The sequence below is a fragment of the Homo sapiens genome, chromosome 4, assembly GCF_000001405.40.
Source record: "Homo sapiens chromosome 4, GRCh38.p14 Primary Assembly".
NCBI classification, from domain to species: domain Eukaryota; kingdom Metazoa; phylum Chordata; class Mammalia; order Primates; family Hominidae; genus Homo; species Homo sapiens.
The window spans coordinates 150,465,632-150,492,276 of NC_000004.12; the positions used below are offsets into that span (position 1 = coordinate 150,465,632).

Genomic DNA, 26,645 nt, shown 5'->3' on the forward strand with positions numbered 1-26,645 from the left:
ATTGGCCACTTGTATATCCTCTTTGGAGAAATGTCTATCAGGTTCTTTACCCATTTTTGAATGTTGTTGAGTTTTAGGAGTCTCTACAAATTCTTGATATTAATCCCTTATTAGACATGTGATCCATGAATAAGGCTTTCCTCTGAAAATTAAAACTCCCTTTTAGAGTTCAGTAAGTAGATATAGAAACTGGTACAATTTCTTAGCTCTAAGCACTATATCAGGCACAAGAGATACAGAAATTAACAAAACAAAATCTTTGTATTCAATGATTTTGCTTAATAGGGAACACAGAGAAGAAAATGTTAAAATTATAATAAATTATGAAATGTATTATAACAAGTATATGGAAAGTACCCTGGGAGTTCAAATTTCTAGATAAAGAAAAGAGCCAACAGCAAAAGCACAAGAGGTGAACATGAGGCATCACAGGATCAGATGATACAGCAAAGATGGGGACAGAGACAGAAGACGTGGTAATAAAACAGACAATGGCTAGATCCTAAACACTATTGTTTGTCATGAGGAAAATGTTAACCTTCGTTTTGACATCCTCGGTAACTATTGTGATTGTCTGAACTGTGTGAAGATCCTATCCTGTGGATAGAGAGTAGGAATTACTCCTGAACATCTTCCTGGAATGAGTAAATAAGAGAACACACTCTTAGAGTCCCTGAGCTCTAAGTAAAGGACACTGGATATGTTGAGTGAACTTGTACTTCTCATGCTGGGATCTGCAGACACTGGGCAATGATCTTCTGACTGAGACTGTGAATCACTGAGAGCCTTGCATTTCTGCTATGATTGGGTATTCAGTGGAGCTTTACATAAACACTTACCTGTGGCCTAAGATGGATTTAGAAGAGTTAAGGGAAATGACTATGTATACCCTTGAAAAAAGTTAGTACTAACAGCAAGAAATCTGGTGTTTTGAGAATGTAAGAGTGACATACAGGAATAAAGGACCAACACTGGGTCAGGGTACAGACAGGGAAGAAGCAACAAAAAGTCTCCAGGTCAAAGATGTAGAAGACATAAACATTTGTTAGCTGTTCCTAGAAATTACTAAGGAAAGAAGCTTTAGGAAAAAGACTGGATATTCCACTCACCTAAAAAATGAGGGTAGAGACTTTGTACTCAGACATTAAAGGAAATACAATTCTGAATATAAATTGGAGGAATCAGTTTGAACTCATAATGTATTTCATCCTAATTTTTTTCCTAGCACCCTCTAAAAAAGGGATAGAAATAATGACAAATTCAGTAGCAATAAGCAGAATAGACAAAACTGTGATCTCCAGATATTAATTCCCACTATAAGAGGTCCCACCCGGGCTCCTCAAAGAAACAGATGATTCTGTATCTGGGCCAGAAAATGTAAGGGTTAAGACTAGAGTGCCTGGTCATACCAGAGAGCATGAAAGTTATCAAAGACTACAAACAGTGTCAAAAATGTCCCAGTAATAACTTCAAGAAGCTCCCCCGGTCAAAGAAAGAACAACTGAACATCAGTAAATAACTGCAATGGATTGAAACATCAAATACATTGAAATCTATGAGTTCATAAAGATACTTTTTTAATAGTCAGTTTGATACCATTGGAGAATGCTAGGAATCAACTCAATATTTTGAAAACTGTTATGTAAATTAACAGAAAAGAGAAAGAATTAAACTTCTATCCTGTCTTTTCTCTGCAATGTACCACTGGATACCCCAGTAGTAGAAGAGAGGAAGTGTCTCTTTATAGAATGAGTCCCATAAATAAGTGAAATAAAAGTGATATTTTAAATACCACAATTTGGCAATGCTTACTAAATTAATGAATCCATGCACTGAATATCAGTGCTAACATCACAAAAGAGAAGTAGTGTTTATCATGCACATTAAATTTTTCCATTTGAAAATCTGTTTAAGAGATAATTATATTAAAGGTACGACTATATTTGAAAAAAATTTTTAAGTTAAGTAAAATAACGAAAGACAATCCAATTTATTTTTATATGCAAGACAATTATATTTCACATCATTACTGAGAAATTACCTTGGACAAATCTCTGAAGTTGGTGGGCAAGGTAAGATCCAGTTCTTCTGATTCATAATTAGTGATGACCCAAGGAAACACTGGATACTGATTTAAGTCATTATAACTCCGTCCTGATAGGGAAAAAAGTTACTCGTAATTTATAATTTTAAAAGTGAAATAAACAGATTCAGTAATATAATTTACTAAAAATAAGATTAAACAATTTTTGATTGCCAGACATCATTCTCAGTATCCATACTTTCTCTCATTTAATCCTCACAACAATCCTATGAAATTGTATCATCTCCATTTCACAGATGAAAAAATTGAGTCACAAAAGGTTAGGTAACTTGCCCCAAATCACACAACTAGTAATGGTCAAACCATATTGAAATCCAGATTTTCTGGTCCTAAGTTTGTGTTCTTTTAAACTACATTTGATAATTTTTTTTATCACTTGAAAGCCTGCCCCAAATAAAATACTCTTTTTTTTATGACTTTAAAAAGCTATTTGTAATTCTCACAGTTTTTCAAAACAAGAATCCTTTCTCTGCCATTAATAATCAACCAACTAAGCAATCAAGTTTAAATGACTTAACCCTGGTGGACATTCACCAGTCATCTATAAAATGAGGGCATTGCACTAAATAATTCTGAAATGTCTGTGGTAGTTTTCAAATCCTATAATCCTCTGAAAATAATGAGCAGTATTATCAATGTTGCTTCCTTACATGCCCAAATGTGGCCACATGCTCTTCTATACATCTTTCTAATGACATTTTCAATGACATATTTAGATTTATTAAAAATACAAATTACAGCAAAAGAGGAGGTAGTCCTTCTACATATGTACAGCAGTTTTTTGGATATTACCTTTTTAGGGAGGTAGCATAGTGGGTGAGATCATTGTTTCTGGAATCAAAATGCTGGTGTTTGAATCCCAGTTCCTATTTACTAGTCTATACATATTTTTAGTTAGATTTAACATGAACAGACTTTTACGGTGAACATAGAGACAAGTATATTAATATTGTTTGAATTCCTTTCTTATTATATATTCTATCATTTCCATTCCTTTTTCTTTCTCAAATATATACTGATGTTATATCAATACGTAGCTGAATATTAAAGTAGTTCTCTGTACATACTCTTGGTATCTAAGCCTTTTTTAGGTCTGATGTTTTTAACTTTTTATTTTACTCTATTCATCTTAGGCTTGAGGCCTATTAGGGTAACAGAGTTCATTTTTGGCTGACCTGGAACAGTCTTATAAAACATCATAACAATGACATTTTTAATTCATAGATCATTAATGTCACTACATATTTCTATCAATAATTTTAATTTCTCCATTAAAAAAACCAAACATAGCAGCAGAAAAAAAAATTTTATGCTCCCCCACTTCCTTCTCCTTCTGATTTAAATGTTGGTAAACAGTAAAATCGTCTTGTCCCATCTACTTAAATAATCAGAAATAATTTTTTATTGTACCTAAAAAATGAAGAGTATGGACCTGCTCAGTGATTAGACTTAATTAAGTTAAACTCAATACACAGTTATTGAATATCAACTGATGGCCATTTGGGAAATGCATCATGATATCATGTTTATCTATATGTGGCACAAATAATAATGTAAAAGAAATCTTAAGTGAGACTTAACTCCATCCTCTAATGCACATTTAAAAAATCTAAAGCAAATGATAGATTCTATATTTATAAAACATATACAGGGAATATACTTAAAGGACACTGCAGGCACAATAAAAGCTATTTGAGAACACATGATTTCATAAATGTTGCTCCATAATCATAACTGTGCATTCAACATGGGTTAATTGATTTACTACATGCAAAATATGTCCATTAAACTTGTTATATAAGTTTCCTCTCACTACTTAAAAATTCTTTTAGTCACTAGTTCTATAATTTCTACTAAATTCAACATAACCATTGACATTTTCTTCATCCCTTTTCCTCAGCTGACTGTGAGATAAACTTCTAATAAAATTTAGAACTTTCAATGTGAGCCCCTCAACTTCCAATTCTTTGCAACATCCCCTCACTCTTTCCCATTTCTCTAACAGGGTCTTTTCTTTGCTAAGAGTAATTGCTTCACCTGAGCTCTCAAACCTGTCTCCCTCATAACTTGAATTGTTACTTTTCTTCTCTCCTCCTCTTACATCATTTCTCCTCTCTGCCCCAACCCATCTTCTCTTTAATAACACATTTAAAATAACCATAATTGGCAGGGCGTGGTGGCTCACGCCTGTAATCCTAGCACTTTGGGAGGTAGAGGCGGGCAGATAACCTGAGGTCAGGAGTTCAAGACCAGCCTGGCCAACATGGTGAAACCCCGTCTCTACTAAAAATACAAAAATTAGCCGGGTGTGGTGGCAGGAGCCTAAAATCCCAGCTACTTGGGAGGCTGAGGCAGGAGAATCGCTTGAACCTGGGAGGCGGAGGTTGCAGTGAGCCGAGATCGTGCCATTGCACTCCAGCCTGGGGAAGAGGAGAGCAACTCCGTCTCAAAAAAATAAAAAAGACCTGTAATTACATCTACAGTTACTATTTCATTTCCAACCATTCATTCTGAAGTCTCCCTCTCCACTCTGTAACATTTGACACAGGTGAAAATGCCTTCCTCCCTCTTTCACCTTGCCTCTCAAGACATCTGACTTACCTCAGTTCTCCTACTATATCTGCACATTCTAGGATCACTCATTCCTTTTTGTCCTTTACTAACTTTCCTTCTCTCTTCTCATATGCAAGAGAATTTCCCTGTCTTATCTCACTGCTTTCTGTATTATCTTCCTTGCTGATCTCACATCTCTTGGTGATTTCCTCTCTATGCAGATGAAATCCAATGTCCTAGTTCTAAGTTCCGAATATCCTCCTTGACCTATACTTCCAAAAACTCTGATACCTTAACTAGAAAGTCTGCCGGCACAGTAAAATCATCATCTTTCCCTAGATCAAATTTTCTGACTTCTTTTTCCATTAATTGCACCACCATTTTCCCACTAACGCAGGCCAGAAGCCTGGAAGTCTTTTCAGATACTTTCTTCTCATTTACCACCTACATTCAGTCAGCTGCATATCAAATGGTTGGTGCCTTGTGAATTCTTATAGAATTTGTTCCTTCTTTTTTAATTCCCACTGATACCTAATGGAAGCCCTCATTACTACACACACACACACACACACACACACACACACACACCACACACTAAATTACTTCCTAACTTTACTTTCTGCCTAGTCTCTAGCCACCCAAATTTATCTTACACACACAGCCTCCAAGTTAATTTTTGATGCAGCTCTAATATCACTTAGGTGCTCAAAAACTTTCAAAAGTTTCCCAATGAACTGACGCTAACTCTTCAAACTGACAAGAAAATCGTTCTTCGCATTTCTAACATTCTTATTTTTTCCCATTATATCTTTATGAATATATACTTCATGCACACAAAAATATACAGTATATACATAGATATACAAACTATACCATTCTTGCTCTCTAGGTATACTTTATATTTTCCCATCTTTGTATGTTTGCTTATGCTTTCAGTCTTACATGGAATGACATCTAACATTCCAACCACCTCCTCTGCTAGTCAAATAGTATCCATCCTTATACAACCATTGAAACCTTATTTTCTCCTTACTCCCACCAACTGGGTGAATATAATTTCCCTCTCTCCCTGTCCTTTTAATCACCACAGTACTTTGAGTTTTTTACTGAATCTATATCCCCTTGCTCTAGAATCATGTAAACATTCACATTTGTACTTAAAATGACTTCTATGAGAGTAAGCAACATACCTTATTCTCTTTGTATATCCTTTGTAGTATTCTAGTAGCAATAACGGCAATAAAACAAGCTAGTTATACCACTACTTAAAATAATCTAACAATTGAAATTAATAATTTATTGTCTAAAATAAATCAATACATGGAATTAGGTTACCTGCTATCGTGTTGAGAAACATCAAGTACTCAAAATTAGATATCTCTCTGTGTTGCCATCGCTGGGTCATATTAGAAGCCTTAAAAAGCTGACGTGGACTAGCTAATGAAATACGTCTGCAAGAAAAAGAATTCAATGTGATATGATTAATTATATCACAATAATAAATCATGAATTATCTGTGCTTATTCATTCATAATATCTATAATTCTGAAAAGTTCTATTCATGTTAGACTAATGAATACTAGAGAGGTTTCAATCTACAATTCATGGTTAAACAAATGATTTAGACTAGCCACAGAGGTATTATACATGTTGTATTCATTCAGGTAAGCTGTCATTACAGTGCCATTATAATGTACAGGTTCAATAAAAGTTGATTAATAACAGTATAATTAATAATTCACTGCTTTAATGATATAAAAAGAAGAAATTATAGCAGCTGGGAAGTGCATATAAAATTCTATTCACATGTCTTTATTAATTGTAATAGTTATCTTAAATGAACACATTTTTACATTATAAATTTAAATATATTTGCATACACTTTGTATCAAAGAGAAGGGAGACTCTAAACTATTTGGGCGTCTGTTCATGGGGTAAAGAGAAATTTTTTTAATATAGCTTAATAGAAGACAAATTTTCCTGTAGCCTCCTAATGAAATGTAAACATCAGTGAATAGAACTGATCAATACAAAGAGTAGTGAGAAACAGATGGCAGAATTAGTTATTACATTCAAAGCCTAGAATCTCAGAGAAATAGGCTGTCACAGTTCTTTCTACCACAAAAAACAAGGTAATTATTTTGTAAAAGGTTCACTGAAGTATAATTTTCATGCCATAAAATTTATTCAATTTGTACAATTCAGTAATTTTTAAAAAATATTTCAAAAGTTGTGCAATTATCACAATTCACTTTAGAACATTTTCTTCATCTCTTCTCGGCCTTTTGGCTAAAATCAAGTGTAGAACATTTTCATCACTACAAAAATTTGCCTTGTACCTATTTACAGATAATCTTCATTCCTATCCCCACCTACAGGCAACTAGCAATCTACTCTGTGTCTCTAGTAAACCCACCTTTTCTAGACATTTCAGATCAATGGAATCATACATTAGTATGTAGTCTTTTGTGTCAGGTTTCTTTCACTAAACATAATGTCTTTGAGGTTTATCAATATGGTAGCATGTATCCACAGTTCATTCCTTTTTATTGCTGACTAGTATCCCACTGTATATAGAATACAGCACATTTTGTTTATCTAGTTGATGGACATTTAACAGTTTTTGCTATTATAAATAATGCTACCATAAACATTCATGTATATATCTTTATATGAAAATATGTTTTGATTTCTTTTGGGTAGATTCCTAAGAGTGGAATTGCTAGGTTGTATGTTGAGTTTATCTTTAATTTTTTGAGAAACCGCCAAATTGTTTTCCAAGGTGGCTATACCACTATATGTTCCAATCAATAATGTATACATTCATCTCCACATCCTTGCCAATACTTGCTCTTGTGTGTATTTTGATTATTACCATTCTAGTTAGTGTAAAATAACAGTTTTAATGTATGTTGTTGAGCATCTTTTCATGTGCTGATTGGTCATTTGTATATCTTCTTCGGTGAAATGACTAATCAAATCTTTTACTCATTTATTGAGCTGTTTGCATTTTATCACTGAGTTGTTAGAATTCTATATACATTCTGAATACAACTCTGTGATAGTTAATTTTATGTGTCAGCTTGACTGGATTAAGTGACCTTAGAGAGCTGGTAAAACATGATTTCTGGGTATATCTGTGATGGCATTTCCAGAGAGATTAGTACTTGAACCAGTGGGCTTAGTAATGCGGACTGCTCTCTCCAGTATGGTGAGCATCATCCAGTCAATTGAGGACTGAATACAATGAGAAGGAGAAAGGGTGAATTCCCTCTTCTGCTCAAGCTGGGAATCTATATTCTCCTCCTCTTGGATAGCAGGAGCTCTTGGTTCTCTGTCCTTCACTTCTTACCCCATCCCTCTCTCCTTAGGCCTTCAAGCCTTGGGCTCAGTCATGGGCTCCCCTGGCCTTCAAATTAGGATTGAATTACACCACTGGCTTTCCTGGGTCTCCAGCTGTAGATGGTGTATTGTGGGATTTCTCAGCCTCCATGGTCATATGAGCCAATTCCCATAATAAATCTCCTCTTACATATCTATACATATCCTATTGGTTTTGTTTCTCTGAAGAATGCAGACTAATAAAAAGTGCTTTATCAGACACATGATATACAAATGTTGTATCAGTCTGTGGCTTATTTCTTCATTTACTTAGTGGTCAATTTTGAAACACAAAAGTTTTACATGTTGGTTGAGTCCAATTTCTCAATTTTTTCTTCTGTGGATTATGCTTTTAGTGTCACATCTGAGAACTGTTTGCCTTTCCCAACATCAGAAAGTTTTTCTCCTATGTTTTCTTTCTGACATTTTATAGTTTTACTTCTCACATATAGGCCTATAATATATTTTGAGTTAATTTTTTTGACTGGTATGTGGTAAGCATCAAAATTTTCTTGTATGTAAACATCCAATTTTGTCCACCAATTGTTTAAAGCCTATCTTTTCCTCACTGAATTGTGTTGGCACCTTTGCTGCAAAACAATTGACCGCAAACTCAAGGATTTATTTCTGTATTGTCAATTCTCTTCCTTTAATTTATATGCCGATCTTTGTACAATTACCACAATTGAAGACTGAGTACAATGAAAATGAGGAAGGGTGAATTCCCTCAGTATTTTGATAACTGTGGCTCTACAATAAGTTTTGAAATCAAGGTACATCTTCCAATTTTGTTCTTATATTTCAAAATTGTTTCAGCTACTCTAGGTCCATTGCATTTCAACTTCCCAATTTCTCCAAAAACGTCTATCAGGAATTGATAGGGATTATACAGAATTTACAGATCTAGGGAAAACTACCCTATTAATTATATTGAATCTTCTGATCCATGAACATGGAATGTCTCCATTTATTAAGGTCTATTTTTAATTTCTCTTAAAAATGTTTTATACTTTTCATTGTACAAATCTTACACTTCTGTGATCTGTAAAGAGGGCTACTTTCTTTCTTCATTCCCAGTGCAGATATCTTTAATTTCTCCCTTCCTTCCTCTCTTTCTTCCTTATTGCACAAACTAACATCTCCAGTGTAACGCTGAATAGAAGTGGTAAAAATGGGAGGACATTTTTACCCTCCTAAACTTAGGGGGAAAGTATTCAGTCTTTCAACATTAAGTATGATGTACGTATTGGGAGTTTTTTGGTAGATGATTTTTGTCACTTTGTGGAAATTTCTTTAGTTGAAAGTTACTTGAGAGTTTTTAATCATGAATGTGTGTTGAATTTGGTCAAATGCTTTTTTCTGAAATGATAGTAAGCTTTTTCTCCTTTATAAATACTGGTGCATGACATAAATTGATTTTCATATTTAAATTAACTGGCATTCCAGTGATAAAACCCACATGAACATTTTATAAATCCTTTTTATATACTGCTGAATTTGTTTCCTAAATTTTGTTTTAAAAAAATGTGTCTGTGTTCAGGACGGAAATTGGCCTATAGCATTTTTCTTGTTAGTTTTCCTGTAATGTCTTTGTCTGGCAGTGGTATTGAGGTGACTGACCTTATAGAATGAGTTGCAAGTGTTTCCTCCCTCCTATCTTCTGGATGAGTATGTGAAAGATTTATATCATTTCTAGTTTAAATATTTTATTGCATTAGCCAGGAAAGACAACTGGGTCTGGGCTTTTCTTTATGGAAAGATTTTTAAATTAATAGCTCATTTTATTTATGTGTTATAGGTCTATTCAAATTTCCAATTTCTTTTTGAGCCAGTTTTGGCAATTCTGTTTTTCTAAGAATTTGTCCGTATCATTTAAGTATCTAATTTGTTGGTAGGAAGTTGTTCATGATATTCCTTTCTACTCCTTTTAATTTCTGTAGGCTCAGGCTGGGCTTGGTGGTTCACACCTGTAATCCCAGCACTTTAGAAGGCTAAGGAGGGAGGATCACTTGAGCCCAAGTTCGAGGCCAGCCTGAGCAACATAGGAAGACCCTATCTCTATAAAAAAAAAAAAAAATCAAAATATTAGCCAGACATGGTGGCATGTGCCTGTAGTCTCAGCTACTCAGGAGGCTGAGATGGGAGGGTGGCTTGAGCCCAGGAGTTTGAAGCTGCAGTGAGCTATAACTGTGCCAAGTGCACTCCAGCCAGGGCAACAGAGCAAGATCGTGTCTCTACAAAAAAAAAAAAGAAAAATAAACAGGAAAAAAGATTCTATATGCTCAATAGTCATGTCTCTACTTTCACTTCTAATTTAAGTAATTTGTGTCATCTTTCATGGTTAGGTTAAAGTCTGTCAATTTTACTGATCTTTGCAAAGAATCAACTTTTGTTTCATTGATCTTCTTCAGTGTTTTTGCTTTATGTTTCATTGATTTTTGTTATAATCTTCATTACTCTATTTTTCTACTTGCTTTGCATTTAGTTTGCTCTCCTCTACTGTCTAACAGTAGAAGCATAGGTTATTGATTTGAGGAATTTATTTCAGATATGGGTGTTTAAAGCTGTAAATTTTCACTTAATACTACTTTAGCTGCATCTCATATATTTTGATATGTTATACCTCTGTTGGATATAAGCATCCAAATTAGTATGCTTCTCAGTCCCATGGGAGGAAGAGTTGCTGGCCACAGAAGTAACCAAAGCACTAATAGCTACATGGCAGAGACATGGCAGAATGTGTGAGGACAAAAAGAAAGATGCCCCCAAACCCAGGCACTCTCTAGGTTCTGGGAGGTATACAGAGGAGGAAGTGGTGCAGACCAAGGAGCATGGAATCAAAAAAAATGAAGCCCCCTACACCACCACCACTCTAGCCACACAGCCTAAGCTCACTCCCTTCTCTGTACCTCTCTAAGCTTCTAACTGCAAAATAACATATCTCCTGGTAGCTGTTATAACCCCTGATATGCATGTATTAAACTCCTTGGTTAGTGCTCCTATAGAAAAAAGGAAATGCCTGAAAACAAGTGATAGGGTTAGGCAAAACTTGCAGTGAAACAGAAAAACTAAAATGAAAACTATTGTTGGTGGCATCTTTGGGCTGACTCAATATATTTTTGTTACGGCTTAAAACTGGTATCTGTGTGTATATGCTTGTACTGTAAGAGCTCCTGGGTGTCAGAAAGAATATTCCAGATCAAGAACCACCACAGGTAGAAAACTGATAACAGGACTAATTCTCTTGCTGATTGCCATCAGTGGTGAGTCAGGATTTAGCACAATAGTCCCTACCCTCTCACGTCCTACTGGCTGACAAGTCAGAACATTTGGTCTTAATGGCCCTGACTTGTAGTGTTCTCACAACTAAACCAAAAGGAGTAGCTCATAAATGCCAACAAAATTCAGGGTCCTGCTTGCCAAGTAAAGCTTCTTGATATTGTGTGGGCAAATTCACAACATTCAATCCTCTGGAGGTCAAAAGCTAAATGTGATGGACAGTTTTCAGTCTATGTCTTACTGATTTCTCATCAGATATTTTCATGTTTAAAAACTACCATCCCTTGGTGATATGGTTTGGATTTGTGTCCCCACCCAAATATCATGTCAAATTGTGTATTAGTCCACTCTCACACTGCTATAAAGAACAGCCTAAGACGGGGTAATTTACTAAGAAAAGAAGTTTAATTGACTTATAGTTCCACATGGCTGGAGAGGCCTCAGGAAACTACAATCATGGTGGAAGGCAAAGAAGGAAGCACCTTCTTCACAAGGCAGCAGTGGGGGTGGGAGAACCAAGAAAAAATTAAACCATCAGATCTCATGAGAACTCACTCACTATCATGAGAACAACATGGGGGAAACTGCCTCCATGATCCAATCAGGTCCTCTGTTGACATGTGGGGATTATAATTTGAGATGAGATTTGGGTGGGGACACAGAGAAAAACCATATCAAATTGTAACCCCCAGTGTTGGAGGTGGGGCCTGGTGGGAGGTGATTATATCATGGGGTAAATTTCCCCCTTGCTGTTCTCATGACAGTGAGTGAGTTTTCACAAGATCTGGTTGTTGAAGAGTGTGTGACAACCCCCCTCCCCGCTTCTTCCTCATGCTCCTGCCATATAAGATATGTCTGCTTCCCCTTCACCTTCTACCATGATTGTAAGTTTCCTGAAGCCTCTCCAGCCATGCTTCCTTATAGCCTGAGGAAACATGAGCCAATGAAACCCCCTTTCTTTATAAATTACCCCGTTTCAGGTATTTCTTTATAGAGGTACCAGAAAAGACTAATACACTTGGCATCATATTTTCCTGGATTTCCTGTCTTTTGAGCCACTCCTGTTTTTGCTCTTAGTGTTGTTGTTTTTGGGAGGGCAGGGATGTCCTGTTTCCCTTACCTAACCTTTACATGTTGAGGTTTTCTGGATGTAGCTCTAGTTCCTCTTGGCATTTTACAATCTCTCCCCAGATGAACTCATTCCCTCTCATGGCTTCAAATTTCATCTACTTGGTAGTCATTCTCAATTACTAGGCCTTTCTTTTGAGCTCTCAACATACCTCCTTATATCTAGCTTCCTATTCAACATTTCAATCTGGATGTCTCTCAGGGGTTCTAATTTCAAGGACCTAAAATTAAACTCATTTTCTGTCCCTCCACCTCCTCCACACAACCCCAGCCATGGGGATGGAAGGATGTTTATACAAATACTGTTCGTCCATTATTCCTAATCCCAGTAAATGCCACTGAGCAGCTCAAGCTGAGACTTGAGTATTGACTAAAGATATTGAATATCTCCCCTTGTCATCACCCCCCAAATCTCTGAGTCTTATAAATTATATTTCTTAAAAATCTCTAAACAAGAATGTCTCTCTTCAGCTACATTATCAACATCACATATCATCCAGATGTCTTCAATAGGCTCCGGTCTTATATAAATAACACCCTCTTCCTAATATCACTAAGTTCCAGTGATACTTGCTTTCCAACATTTCTTAGAACACTAGAAGCTCCCTGCCTTGCTTCAGGGCCTTTGCATATACTGTGCCTTCGTTCAAAGAATAGCTGGTTATATTTCTTCAAATCAAAACTTAAAAGTCACATAGGAAGATATTCCTGGTTATCTTATCCAAAGCAACCCATCTCTACTCTACTAATCACTACTACAACACTCTAATTATATCCTTCCTGTCACTTATCACAGCTATTTAGTTTACATATTTGTTTTAAAAATGTATGGGTAAAATGGTTTCTATCTTGTACATGGCTGAGTGCTTGACACATTGTAAGTGAAAATCTATTTAAGAAACTGATTAATAAATTAAGACTTATAGGCTGGGCACAGTGGCTCATGCCTATAATCCCAGCACTTTAGGAGGCTGAGGTGGCAGGATCACTTCAGCCCAGGACTTTGAGATCAGCCTGGACAATGGAGCAAGACAGCATCTCTTAAAAAAAAAAATTAGCCAGGCGTGGTATCATGTGCCTACAGTCCCAGCTACCGGGAAGCTGAGGTGAGTGATTCGCTTGAGCCCAGCAGATTGAGCTGCCGTGATTGTACCACTGCACTCCAGCACTCCAGCCTGGGTGACATAGCAAGACCCTGCCTTTAAAAAAAAAGGACATCTAGCTTTAACTGTGGGAGAACATTACAGAACATTCCCAGGTATGAAAACATATACTAGGTGTGATAAACAAAACTTTTCTAAAATAAAGAGATAATTTGTAGAAAAAGACTTCTTAACTAATATAAGGAAATCCACTATGCTCCTCTGGGCTGCTTCTTCCTGAACTCTGAAATCCTCATTAAATTATAAAAATTATCTAATCAAAAGCATTACCGGTATTGTAAGGCAACATAGCTTATAATCCAGAAGGACCACTTTATTTGCCCCATTTACATAAAAGTTGTGACCTGTGGTAGTTCTGGAATACATCCTCGAGAGGTGGAGCTTAATTCCCCTCCCCTGGACTTTGGGCTGTATTTAGTGACCCACTTGTAAATGAATACAATGTAGCAGAAATGATGGTGTATAACTATCAAGAGAAAGTAATTTTTAAAAATTGGGGTTTCTGCTTCATTCTCTCTTGGATCACTTGCTCTGCAGGAAGCCAGCTCCCATGTCATGTAACACTCCAGTAACAGATGGAAAAACTGACTCGGTAAGGAACTGAGGCCTACTGCTAAGGAGCACATGAGAGATTCCTTTGACAGCCATCCAGCCACAGGCTGGCTGTAGCTACTACTAACATCCTAGCTGATGTTTGTGCATTCTATCGCAATTGCATTTGTAATAGGATACTTAAAATTTAAAAATAAACACTGATCAAAAGTAGCTCAATTCAATACCAAATTAGGTATGCTAAAAGTAAACTGTACGTTTCCACCACGAATATGTTTCAATCAATAGAAAAATCCCAGTGTTCGCTCTTTCCAGTTCTTAAATTAGTTAACTAAATTGTATTGATGATGAATCAATACCTACTATGAAAGGAAATAATCAGTAATTATGCTACTTCAATGTAGTCCCAGCATACAGGAGAAAGATGCATACACCTACACTCTCCCAATACCCTATACCATGAGAGATATTTTGCCATTTTAACATTTCTCTCAGAGACTTATTAGGTTACTTTCAACTATATAAATACTTGTTATTAAGTCCATACATTCAAATACAAAACTAATATGTGAATTCTGATTTACCAGAGGCTACACATACAGGTTTTAATTAAATATAGTTACAAAATCCTTAATCTATAGATTTAATATTTATATTAAATAAAAAATTGTATGATGTAATAGAGCAAAATCCAATCATTTTTATCAAAACGATGAAAAGTTTCAGATTTATCATGTGTATATTAAATAATGCTATAGCACATACTAAAATGATTGTAATAAACACTTTTTTAAAACAGCATCACATGTACAGATGTAATAAGCACTTTTGGCTTAGATATTTTTAAATATGCTTAGAAAGCTTATCTTTCAATAATTGTGATTGGAATATAATTAATTTTTTATATTTATTTAAACAGTTTTACATAGATGTAATAATTGTACATATTTATGGTGTACGCAGTGATGTGATATACATAAGACATAGTGATCAGATCAGGTAATTAGGACACCCATTATCTAAAACATTTATCATTTACTTGTGTTAGCAACAGTCAAAATCCTCCTCCTAGCTATTTGAAACTGTATTACTGCTAACTCTAGTCATCCTACAGTGTTATATAGAACTTTAGAATTTATTCCTCAGTCCAGCTCTTATTTTGTATACTTTAACAAATCTCTCCCTATCATCTCTCCCTCCCCACTACCCTTTTGATCCTCGAGTATCCACTGTTCTACTTTTTACTCATATGGAGATTAACCTTTTGGTAGCTTCCACATATGAGTGAGAACACGCAGTGTTTAACTTTCTGTGCCTGGCTTATTTCACTTAATATAATGTCCTGCAGTTCCATCCATGCTGCCACCAATGACAAGATTCCATGTTTTTTTATGGCTGAATAGTATTCCATTGTGTATATATGGCACCTTTTCCTTATCCACTTATCTGTTGCTGAACACCACTGATTCCATCTCTTTGCTAGTGTGAACAGTCCTGCAATAAACATGGTGGGTGCAGATGTCTCTTCAATGTACTGATATCCTTTCGTGTGGATAGATGCCCAGTAGTGGGAACTCTGGATCACATGGGAGCACTATTTGTGGTTTCTTGAGGAAGAGATATAATTTAATACATTATATTAAATGTATAATATTTATCAAACTTAAGTGTACAATTTGATGAGATTTGAATATATATATATGTTTCTGTAACCACCACCACAACCAAGATACACTCTAAAAGGTCCCTCATAACCCTCTGCAGCTAATTCCCTTGCCCCAACTCTTGGCCCCTGGTAACCAATAATCTGCTTTCTGTCATTGTGTAGTTTTGCTTTTTCAGTAATTTCATATAAATAAAACCATGGCCTATGGCTATGATGTATGGAGCCCGTAATGTTTAATTTCTTTCATTTAGCATAACACTTTTGAAATTCATCCATGTTGTTGCATGTACCAGTAGTCATTTCCCTTTTATTTCTGAGTGGTATTTCATTTATTCCAGTGAATACAGGTATTGCAATCTGTTTAGCCACTCACAGTTGATGGACATCAGAAATGTTTACAATTTGAGACTGGAATAAAACTGCTATTAATATTTGCTTAAAAGTAAATGTGAATATGTATGTTTTCATTACTCTTGATAAATGCCTAAGAGTGGAATTAGTATGATATACATTAAGTTCCTAACCTATACATCCTCATTAACTTTACACATTCTTTGTTGTTGTTTTTGAAAATCAAGTTTGTTGAAGAATAATTTACATAGAGAAAAATTCATTATTTTTAGGTGTACAATATAATGAGTTTTCTAAACATAGAGGCTTATGTAAGAACAATTATGACATGGAATATTTCCATGATCCCCAAAAGTTCCTTTTATTCTCCCTTGTATGCAATTCTTCCTCTTTTCCCATAGCTCCTAGCAATCATTGCTCTGTTTTCTGTCCCTAACAGCTATGCTTTTTCCAGAATGTCATATAAATGGAATCATACAACATGCAGCCTTTTGTTTTGGCTTTGTACACCTAGTATAATATTTTCAAATTCATCTGTGTTGTTGCATGTATTAGTGCTTCACTCCTTTTTATTACTAAGTACTATATAGATTCCATTGTATGGATTTATCACAGTTTGTCCATTTACCAGTTGATAACCATCTTGGTTATTTCCAATTTTTGTGATGAATATGGCTGCTATAAATATTCATGAAGCAGTCATTGCATGAACATATATTTTCATTCCTCTAGGGTAAGAGACCTAGAGTGAGACTCCTAGGATGTATGGGAAAGTGTATGGTTAATTCTATATGAAAGTGCCAAATTGTTTACAAAGAAGTCGTACCACTTTACTTCCCCATCAACAACATGTGAGGTTCCAGTTGCCTTGTATACTGCTCTTGGTATTGTTAGATTTTTAAAAAGTTATTCGAATAGGTATGTCATGGGATCACACTGTTGTTTTAATCAGCATTTCTCAGATGACTAATGATGTTTGGCATCTTTTCATGTGTTTATTCGGTATCTATATCTATTCTTTGTTGAAGTATCTGTTCAAAACTTACATTTTTTTTTTGTAGCAAGCTTATCTTGTTATATAGTATGTTTCCTACATATCCTGGATGTAAGTGCTTTATCACACATAAGTTGAACAAATACTTTAATCCAGTCTGGCGTATATTTTCATTTTCTTAAGAGTTGGCATTTCAAAGCAAATGTTTTTTATTTTAATGAAATCAATTAAAGATCTAAAGAAATATTTACCTAATTCAAGGTCACAAAGATTTTTCTCCTATGTGTTCTTTCAAGAAGTTCTACTTTTAGCACTTACGTTTGTCTACACTACGTTTTTTTCTGTTACATTTTGAGTTAATTTATATGTAAAATTAAGGGGTGAGGTTCTTTTTCTTTTTGGATATGGATAACCAATTGTTCATCATCATTTGTTAAAAAGATCATTTTCCCCCCTGGGCATACCTTGACATCTTTGTCAAAAATCAAATTGATCATATATGTTTGAGTCTATTTCTGGACTCTGTTACAGTCCATTGGTTTATATGAGTCTATCCTTAAATAACAAGCTATCCTAATGAATGTAATTTTATATTAAGTCTTTTGTTTTTTTTTCTCAAAATTGTTTAAACTATTCTGGATATTTACAATTTCACTTAAATTTTAGAATCAGCTTGTCTATTTCTCTTTTTTCCTTTTTTTAAGTTAAAAAAATAGAGATGGGGTCTCCCTATGTTGCCCAGACTGGTCTTGAACTCCTAGGCTCAAGTGATTCTCCCACATGGACTTTCCAAAGTGCTGAGATTACAGGTGTGAGCCACCATGCCTGGCCATCTTGCCAATTTCTTTAAAAAAGAAAGAAAGAAAGAAAAAGCCTGCTCAGATTTTGGATAGAGCTGCTTTGGACCTCAGATCAATTCTGGAGAAAACTGACATCTTAATAATATTGAGTCTTCCAATCCATGAGCGTAGTATAGTACAATTCTCCATTTTTAAGTTTTAATTCTCCAAAACAGTTTTATAGCTTTCAGTGAGTAGGTCTTATAAATACATTTTCAAATTTATCTATATGTATTTATTTTTTGATAGTATTTAAACACTAGTTTTAATTTCAATTTCTGATTGTTCATTGCTAGCATACAGGGATAAAATTGAGTTTTATATACTGACCCAGTATGCTATGAACAGCTAAACTCATTTATTAGTTCTAACAGTTGTTGTTGTTGCTGTTTTTTTCCTCATAGATTCCCTGGGACTTTCCACATAAACATTCAAGAAGGTATGCTAAAATGACTATTTTATTTCTTCCTTTCCAATCAGGATGTCTGCAGTTCCTATTTCTTGAAAGGCCTTTGTATGCATTTGGTGTTCAGGTAATGCTGGTCTCATATAATGTTTTTGGCAATTTAACCTCCTTTTCTATTTTTTGCAAGAGTTTGTGTAGAAATGGTATTATTTCTTCATTAAACATTTGATAGAATTCATCTGAACTACAAGTTTTCTCTGAGGTAAGGTCTTTTACTACAATTCAATTTCCTTTGTAGAACTATTAAGATTAACCATTTCTTCATTAGTGATATTTGATAGCTTGTGCCTTTCAAGAAATCTATTTCATCTAAGTTGTCTAATTTAGTAGCATAAATTTGTTCATAATATTTCTTTATTTTTCTTTTAATATCTGTAGTGATGTTCCCTCCCTTATTCTTAATATTTTTAATTTGTGTCTTCTCTTTCTGCATCTTTGCTAGATATTTACTATTAATACATTTATTAATCTTGTCAAGAGACAGCTTTTCATTACACTGATTTTTTTCTCTATCATTTATTTTTATTATTTTTTTCTTTCTTCAGCTTACTTTGACTACATGTGCTTCTCTTTTTTCCCACATTCTTCAGATTGAAGCTAAGATCATTGATTTTAGGCAATGATCCTCTCCTCCTCCCCTCCCCCTTACCCTCTCCCTTCTTAAATAAAATCATTTAATGCTATAATTCTACATTAGGCACTTCTTTATCTTCATGTTAAACATTTCTATAGGTTGTGCTGTTATTTTCAATTAGTAGAATATTTCTAATATCTCTTCTAATTTCATCTTTGGCCCATGTTTTATGTAGAAGCGCATTAATTTCCAAATCTCAAGAGATTTTCCAAAAACCTTTCTGTAACTGATTTCTGGTTTGTAATTAACCAGAGATCCAAGATCTCAATCTTTCTAAACATTTTGAGACTTATTTTAGGGCTGAATATGGTCAACGTGATAAATGTTCTACGTGTATTTAAAATGAATGTATTTTGTGCAATTGACTAAAATGTTTTATACATGTGACACAGATCAAGGTGGTTAATAATGTTCCAGTCTTCAGTATGCTTACTGATTTTTTGTCTACCTGTTCTCTAAATTACTGACATAACAGGGAGAGGCTGTCTATATTTCATTCCACTTCTATCCACTTTTGTCTTATGAATTTTGAAGCTCTATTTTTAGATGTATGTAAATTTAAGATCATCACCTTGATGAACTGGCTCTTTTATCATTATGATATGTCACTTTTTCCTCTGATAATATAATGCTTTGTGTGGTAATTTGATAATTGTTATGGGTTGACTTATGACTCCTTAAAAGCTATATATTGAAGAGCTACCTCCCAGTACCTCAGAATGTAACAATTTGCAGAGAGAATATTTTCAAGTTAAAATGAAGTCATCAGGGTGGGCCCAAGTCCAATATGGCTGGTGTCTTTGTAAAAGAGGGAAACCTGGACACAGAGACATACACAGGGGGAAAACAATGTGAAGAGACAGAGGGAGAAGAGAGGCATCTAAAAACCAAGGAGACCGGCCTGGAACAGATCCTTCCCTCATAGCCCTCAGAAGGAACCAACACTGATGAAAACTTGATTTTGAACTTCTTGCCTCCAAAACTGTGAGACAACACATTTCTGTTGTTTAAGCCACCCAATTTGTGGTACTTTGTTATGACAGCCCTAGAAAACTAATATAGTAATGATATGACTAGCTGGCTGTTTTTATTAAGGTAGTGTTTGCATGGTATACCTTTTTCTGTCCATTTACCTTTAACGTATAAATGTATTTATATTTAAATGGGGCTTCTTGGTTGCCAGAGGCAGAGGAGTGGGGGAAATGGGGAGATGTGGCCAAAGTGTACAAACTTTTCATTGTAAGACAAGTAAGTTCTGGGAATCTAATGTTTAATATGAAGATTATAGTTCATAATATTAAATTGCATATTTAAATTGCTAAGAGAGTAGATCTTAAGTATTCTCACCACAGACACACACACAAAGGTAACTGTGAGGGATGGATATGTTAATTAACTTGAATGCAGTAATCATTTAACAATGTATATATGTATCAAATCATCATGAGGTAGACCTTAAATATGTGTAATTTATATTTGTGAATTACAACTCAATAAAGCTGGAAAAAAATACCTACTGCAAAAGAAAAAAAAGGGTGGGTTTCCTCTAGGTAGCACATAAATGAGTATTGCTTTTTTATGCAATTTGGTTTTTTCTTCCTTTAAATTATATAGTTTAGGCAAATAGTACTTCAAGGTAGCATATTTTTTATTATATTATTTTATAAATAAGACATTGGTCATAAAACTTGAAAGAAAAAATACATAAATAATTTTACCACAGCATTTTTTATAATAATGAAAACATGGAAATAAAGCAAATCTTCAGCAATGAGGGAATTACTCAATTTTGATATATTCATATTTCAGACTATTAGCAACCAATAAAAATTATCATTTTTTTGTCTTGTATACATCACGAAATAGCTAATTTGAGCAAATTAATATATCCATTACCTCATATATTCATCATTTTTTGTAATCTAGTCTCCACAATTTTTAAGAAAACAATATGCTGTTACTAACTATAGTCACTATGCTGTAAGATAGATCTCTTCAACTATTCCTCCTAACTAAAATTTTGTATCCTTTGACCAACATCTCCCCAGTCACCCCACCCCTAACCTCTACCCTTGGTAACCACGATTCTACTCTCTACTTCTATGAGTCTAACTTTTTTAGATTTCACATATTTAGATCATACAGTATTTGCCTTTCTGCGTCTTTCTTATTTCACTTAACAGAATGTCCTCCAGTTCATCCATGTTATTGTAGATAACAAGATTTCCTTCTTTTTAAAGACTGAGTAGCATTCCATTGCATATATATACAACCAAAATTTCTTTATTCATCAGCTGATGTACACTTACGTTGATTTCTGTATCTTGGCTATTGGGAGTAATGCTGCAATGCAAACAGGAGTGCAGATATCTCTTTGACATACTGTTTTCATTTCAGTTAGATATATACCCAGTAGTGGGATTGCAGGATCATGTGGTATTTCTGGTTATACGTGTGTGTACCATTATGATATATATCGTGTGTGTGTATATTTATACACACATATACCATTATGATATATATTATATATATATGTATCTTTGAAAAGAATAGTAATTATATCGATATATATACTATAAATATCTTTCCTAAAAGGTTAGTATTTAAACTTTCCATAAAAGAGATAAAAAGTAAATCTTACAATATACACTTTTCTTGGGGTAAGGTTAGGCAATCTTTTATTTAATGATTATTTGCTAAGTATATACTCTGCTAGACACCATACCCTATGCTAGGGAAAACAGTATATTATAATGCAGTTTAGTCAAAAGAAAACTTAATAACTTAAAACAGTACATTATAATGCAGTTTAGTCAAAAGAAAATACTAATAATCATTATTTACTATGAAACATAAAACAGAAAGTTATAAATTTCAAAATAAGTGAGAACATTAATACAGATTAATGTTAATAAGAATATTAATACTGGTTAATTATTATAACTATTAAGACACTTTACTTTCCCTAAGTTTCTCATATAAAACAGTACCTGGTTTGAGGCAATCCAAAACTTGTTCCAACGCCAACACGAGGTAGATAGTTAACCACTTTCTTTACTGTTGCAGGGTCTGGGAAGTTGAACATCACAGCAACTACAACAGATGATTTTTAAAAATTAGAACACAGTATAACTTCCTTTCTGGAAAACTGACTCCTTGGTCCAATAAAATATTTACTTTTAATTCAGGTATCTATTAAATACAATTCTTACTATATTCCTTTTATATAGTATATATCAAGTTTTAGTATTAATATGCCAGTGATAATATTCATTTCACTTATAAATTCTTTTACCATAGACAGTGCTTTCCTAAATACTATTAGGTGTTATAACAGTTGATGTTGCATTGATATGACATGAAGTTGAGATTATGAGACATGATAATAATAATGATAATGATAGCTGAGATAATGTGACATGAAGCTGCAACTTTAAATTTACAAAAATGAATTTTGGCAAGTCAAAGGTATTTCTAGGAGTTTCCAGAAACAAATATTAAAAATTTAAGTTTATGTAGTTAAACAACTAACACTAAAAAACAACCAATATAGCTATGAAATAATCAGTTACATTTATTTCCAATCATTAAGTTTTAAAACAGTCTTTTTACAATGTCTATATGTTTATCTTTCATATGTTCAAATGAGCAAATGTTCATATAATCCAAAACAATGTGTGATCTGAAGGAACATTTTTCCTCTGCAGTTAAAAATCAAATTTAAATGCTTTCTCATCCTATTTCAATAATTTCACATACATGAGAATACCAAGAAGTACATGTCAATATGTAAACATATTTAGCAATAAATGTTAATTTATGAGAGTAATCTATAAATTTTTACCCATTTAAAGAACATGAAAGTAAAATCATACAATCTTGAGAGAGTTTAGAAGATATTCATTTGGTCAGTCATGGAATTTTAACTTCAATGTCAGAATCATATGTAAGCTACAAGCGATCATCTAGAAGATGGTCCTTCTTCTCTACCAACCCTTAAAAAAATATTTAAAGCCAAAAAAAAAATATACCAATGTTCCTATAGTTTTTAAAACACTGGCATTGCCAACATGTTTCAGGTATTCAGGTAAATAAGTAATCGATCATTCACTAAGCACCTATAACATATTTAGTAATGTCATAATATATACACACACATAAGAATATATACACACACATAAGAATATATACACACACGAGAATATATATAACATATAATATATTATATATAAGAATATATAACATATAATATATATAAGAATATATAATATATTATATATAAGAATATATATTATATATAATATATTATATATAAGAATATATAATATATTATATATAATATTATATAAGAATATACAATATATTATATATCATATATAATATATAAGAATATATAATATATAATATATCAGAATATATAATATATTATATATAAGTATATAATATATTATATATAAGTATATATTATATATACGAATATATAATATATTATATATACGAATATATAATATATTATATATAAGAATATATAATATATTATATATAAGAATATATAATATATTATATATAAGAATATATAAAATATATTACATATAAGAATATAAAATATATTACATATAAGAATATAAAATATATTACATATAAGAATATAAAATATATTATATATAAGAATATAAAATATATTACATATAAGAATATATAATATATTATATATAAGAATATAAAATATATTATATATAAGAATATATAATATATTATATATAAGAATATATAATATATAAGAATACATAATATATATTATATATAAGAATACATAATATATATTATATATAAGAATATATAATATATTATATAAGAATATATAATATATAATATATAAGAATATATAATATATAAGAATATATAATATATAATATTATATATAAGAATATATATTATATATAAGAATATATTATATATTATATATTATATATAAGAATATATAATATATAATAATTATACATAGGAATATATTATACATATATATTCTTATCTGTGTGTGTGTATGTATCCTTTAGATAAGCCTCCTTTACATATCCACTATTATACTGAATTCAGGGGGAAAAAATAAACAGAAGAAAAAAATCATCATAGGTTATGGCAGATGGTCAAGGCCACGAGGCAAAGGCAACAGAAAAACACACATATAAAAACAAGCATGCATAAGAAATTTCAAAGAAAGAAAATGAATGAGGATGAGCAAGTAATAAATATTCTAAGATTGAAGCTCCTTTGGGACAGCAAGGATGCGGACTGAAATAAAGTGTGAAACATTCTCTTGATTATTTGCCTAGAAGAATAATGTTTAGATTAGAAGAAGAGGTATGTGCCAGGAGGAGATCAAACAGGAAGGGAAAAATCTTTTCCTAAAGAAATTTGTATTCCCTAAAGACAGATAATTTCATAAAGGAAAAACAAGATGTGTGTGTGGAATATAGGCAGTTATGTGTACCTTTAAAAATAAGAAACCATCAACCCATGTATATATAATACAAGGAATATGTACAATAAATCAGTAGGTTTTACATATATTCCATTGTACACCTCCACCCATACCAAATGATGCTTTTCCTTCAAGTTCAACTTGTCTCCCCTTCTTTTCTTAATGGATTTCACCAAGTTCCATCGTAAAACTGCAAATTAAATTTTAGTTCAACTTTCAAGAATGATGAAATACAGAGCAAACAGGACAGTTCAGTATCATTTTCTCATGGTTCCTTTATAAAAGCAATATATCACATATATCACACAAAAGATTAAATAGACATATGAATCGTTATTGTCCTCTCCTCTCCCCAAATGCAGCCACCTTCCAGAAGGAATTAAGTATCAAAGCAATGCTCAGGACATCAAAACTCCTCTTCAAGCTGATTAAATGGTTATGTATTCCTTATGTTTATAAAGCCTTATATCAATTTGTGATATGGCAAAAAAAAGAAAAGAATTACAAATGATTCTATTAATAATCAAGGTGGGAAAAAACCATGAAGAAGCATTTGGTACAAAAAAAGAGGTCACTAGAACAGAAGGTGGGCTACAAATAACTATCTAAATTGAAGCAATATGGTATGTTCAAAAATGAAATCTTAAAGAGATGGAAGTTAGCTCTGTAACAACGTATTTCTGTAACACATTACCTCTGTTTGCCATAAAGATCTCCAGGGCTGTATTTTGCAAAAGATAACGACGAGAAAAGATTGATCGTATCTCTGTGAACAGCCATTTTCCATGCAGCCCTTCTGTATATGCCAAGATCTAATGAGGAAAAAAATAATCCCAGGTAAGTAACAATACTTGTTTTTTGTTGTTGTTTCTTTCCCCAATTAAAATAGAAAAGACCCTATTAAGAAAAATAATTTTTAAGAAAAAGGATTTAATAGTTACAGACATAATTTGGAGATGAAGAAAATAAATTGTAATTTATAGAAAAGAAGCTTAAATTAAAAAGCAAAGTAAAATTATAAAACATTTAAGTATATATTCGGGCTTTTAAAAACAATGATATAATCTACTGCTTCTGAAGAAATACATATTGCATCATTTACTGATTGATTTTTAAACCACATTATGAAAAGTAAAACTTCAGATAAAATCTTAAAAACAAAAAGCCCTCAAAAGAATGTCATATATGCTTATAAATCACATACACAATTCAGTTTCACATGATTATAATTTGCCCAATAATGCTTTTACATACATTATAATACAAATATATTAAGTTCATAACTTTAAAAAATGACACTTTTAAGGTCACTGTTAAGGCAACAGTCACTCATTCAGAAAGCACAAACACTGACTATATAAGAGGTTAAGTATCATTTTGTCAGCTAAAGCTAAACACAAACCTGCAAATGAACTTAGCATAATCTCCCTATGGGGTAGGTGGTTGTCAGAGTAACTTGTTACAATTCTTGTCATCCCAGGTGACAGACAGAGTTGCTTAAAATGCTTTGCCAATTCAAAGTAATCCTGTCTTTAGTCCTAACCCACTTTGTTGCTTTGATTCAAGTTTTGTTTTTCAAAACGTTCATTTCAAAAGCTTAATTGTGAAAGCGTTAAGGGAAAACCAGACTCAGCATTTCTCTACACCAGTACTATACATAATACATAAGAAAATGAGATGCACTTGCTATCAAAACCTGATATTCTATGACAGCAAATTAAGTTTAAAAAATTAAGAAATATATCTCAAAAGTAACCACTATTAAAAATTACAAATGAAACATTTGATTATGATACTACATTGTAGGAATAAAGATGGGATGAGCAAAGAGGTAAAATAACGAGTAGTAAAAATTTATCCTTCTCAAACTGTTTTGTCTTTACTCATTTTTATTTTCAAAATCCTAATGGCAAATAAATCTACATTCTCCAGTGCAGAATGTAGTTTTTTTGAAAAAAAAAAAAAAGAGTAACAAACCTTATTTAAGTCAGTAAGTATGTATTTCAGTCTTTCTACAAAAATGATTCTATTTCTGACACCACAGAATCTAGAA

At 33.0% G+C, this 26,645-nt stretch overlaps 1 protein-coding gene across 11 annotated transcripts in view; it reads right to left on the bottom strand.

Moving 5' to 3' along the window:
* Nucleotides 1-26,645, bottom strand: part of LRBA (LPS responsive beige-like anchor protein) — a 751,293-nt gene that overhangs the window by 201,197 nt on the left and 523,451 nt on the right. For all 11 annotated transcript variants that reach the window (XM_047416462.1, NM_001367550.1, NM_006726.5 and 8 more), the window contains 4 exons: nt 25,287-25,404; nt 22,101-22,203; nt 5,993-6,108; nt 2,042-2,154 (listed from right to left, as the gene is read on the bottom strand). In XM_047416462.1, coding sequence (XP_047272418.1) covers nt 2,042-2,154; nt 5,993-6,108; nt 22,101-22,203; nt 25,287-25,404 — 450 coding nt within the window. The remainder of the gene's footprint in view (nt 1-2,041; nt 2,155-5,992; nt 6,109-22,100; nt 22,204-25,286; nt 25,405-26,645) is intronic.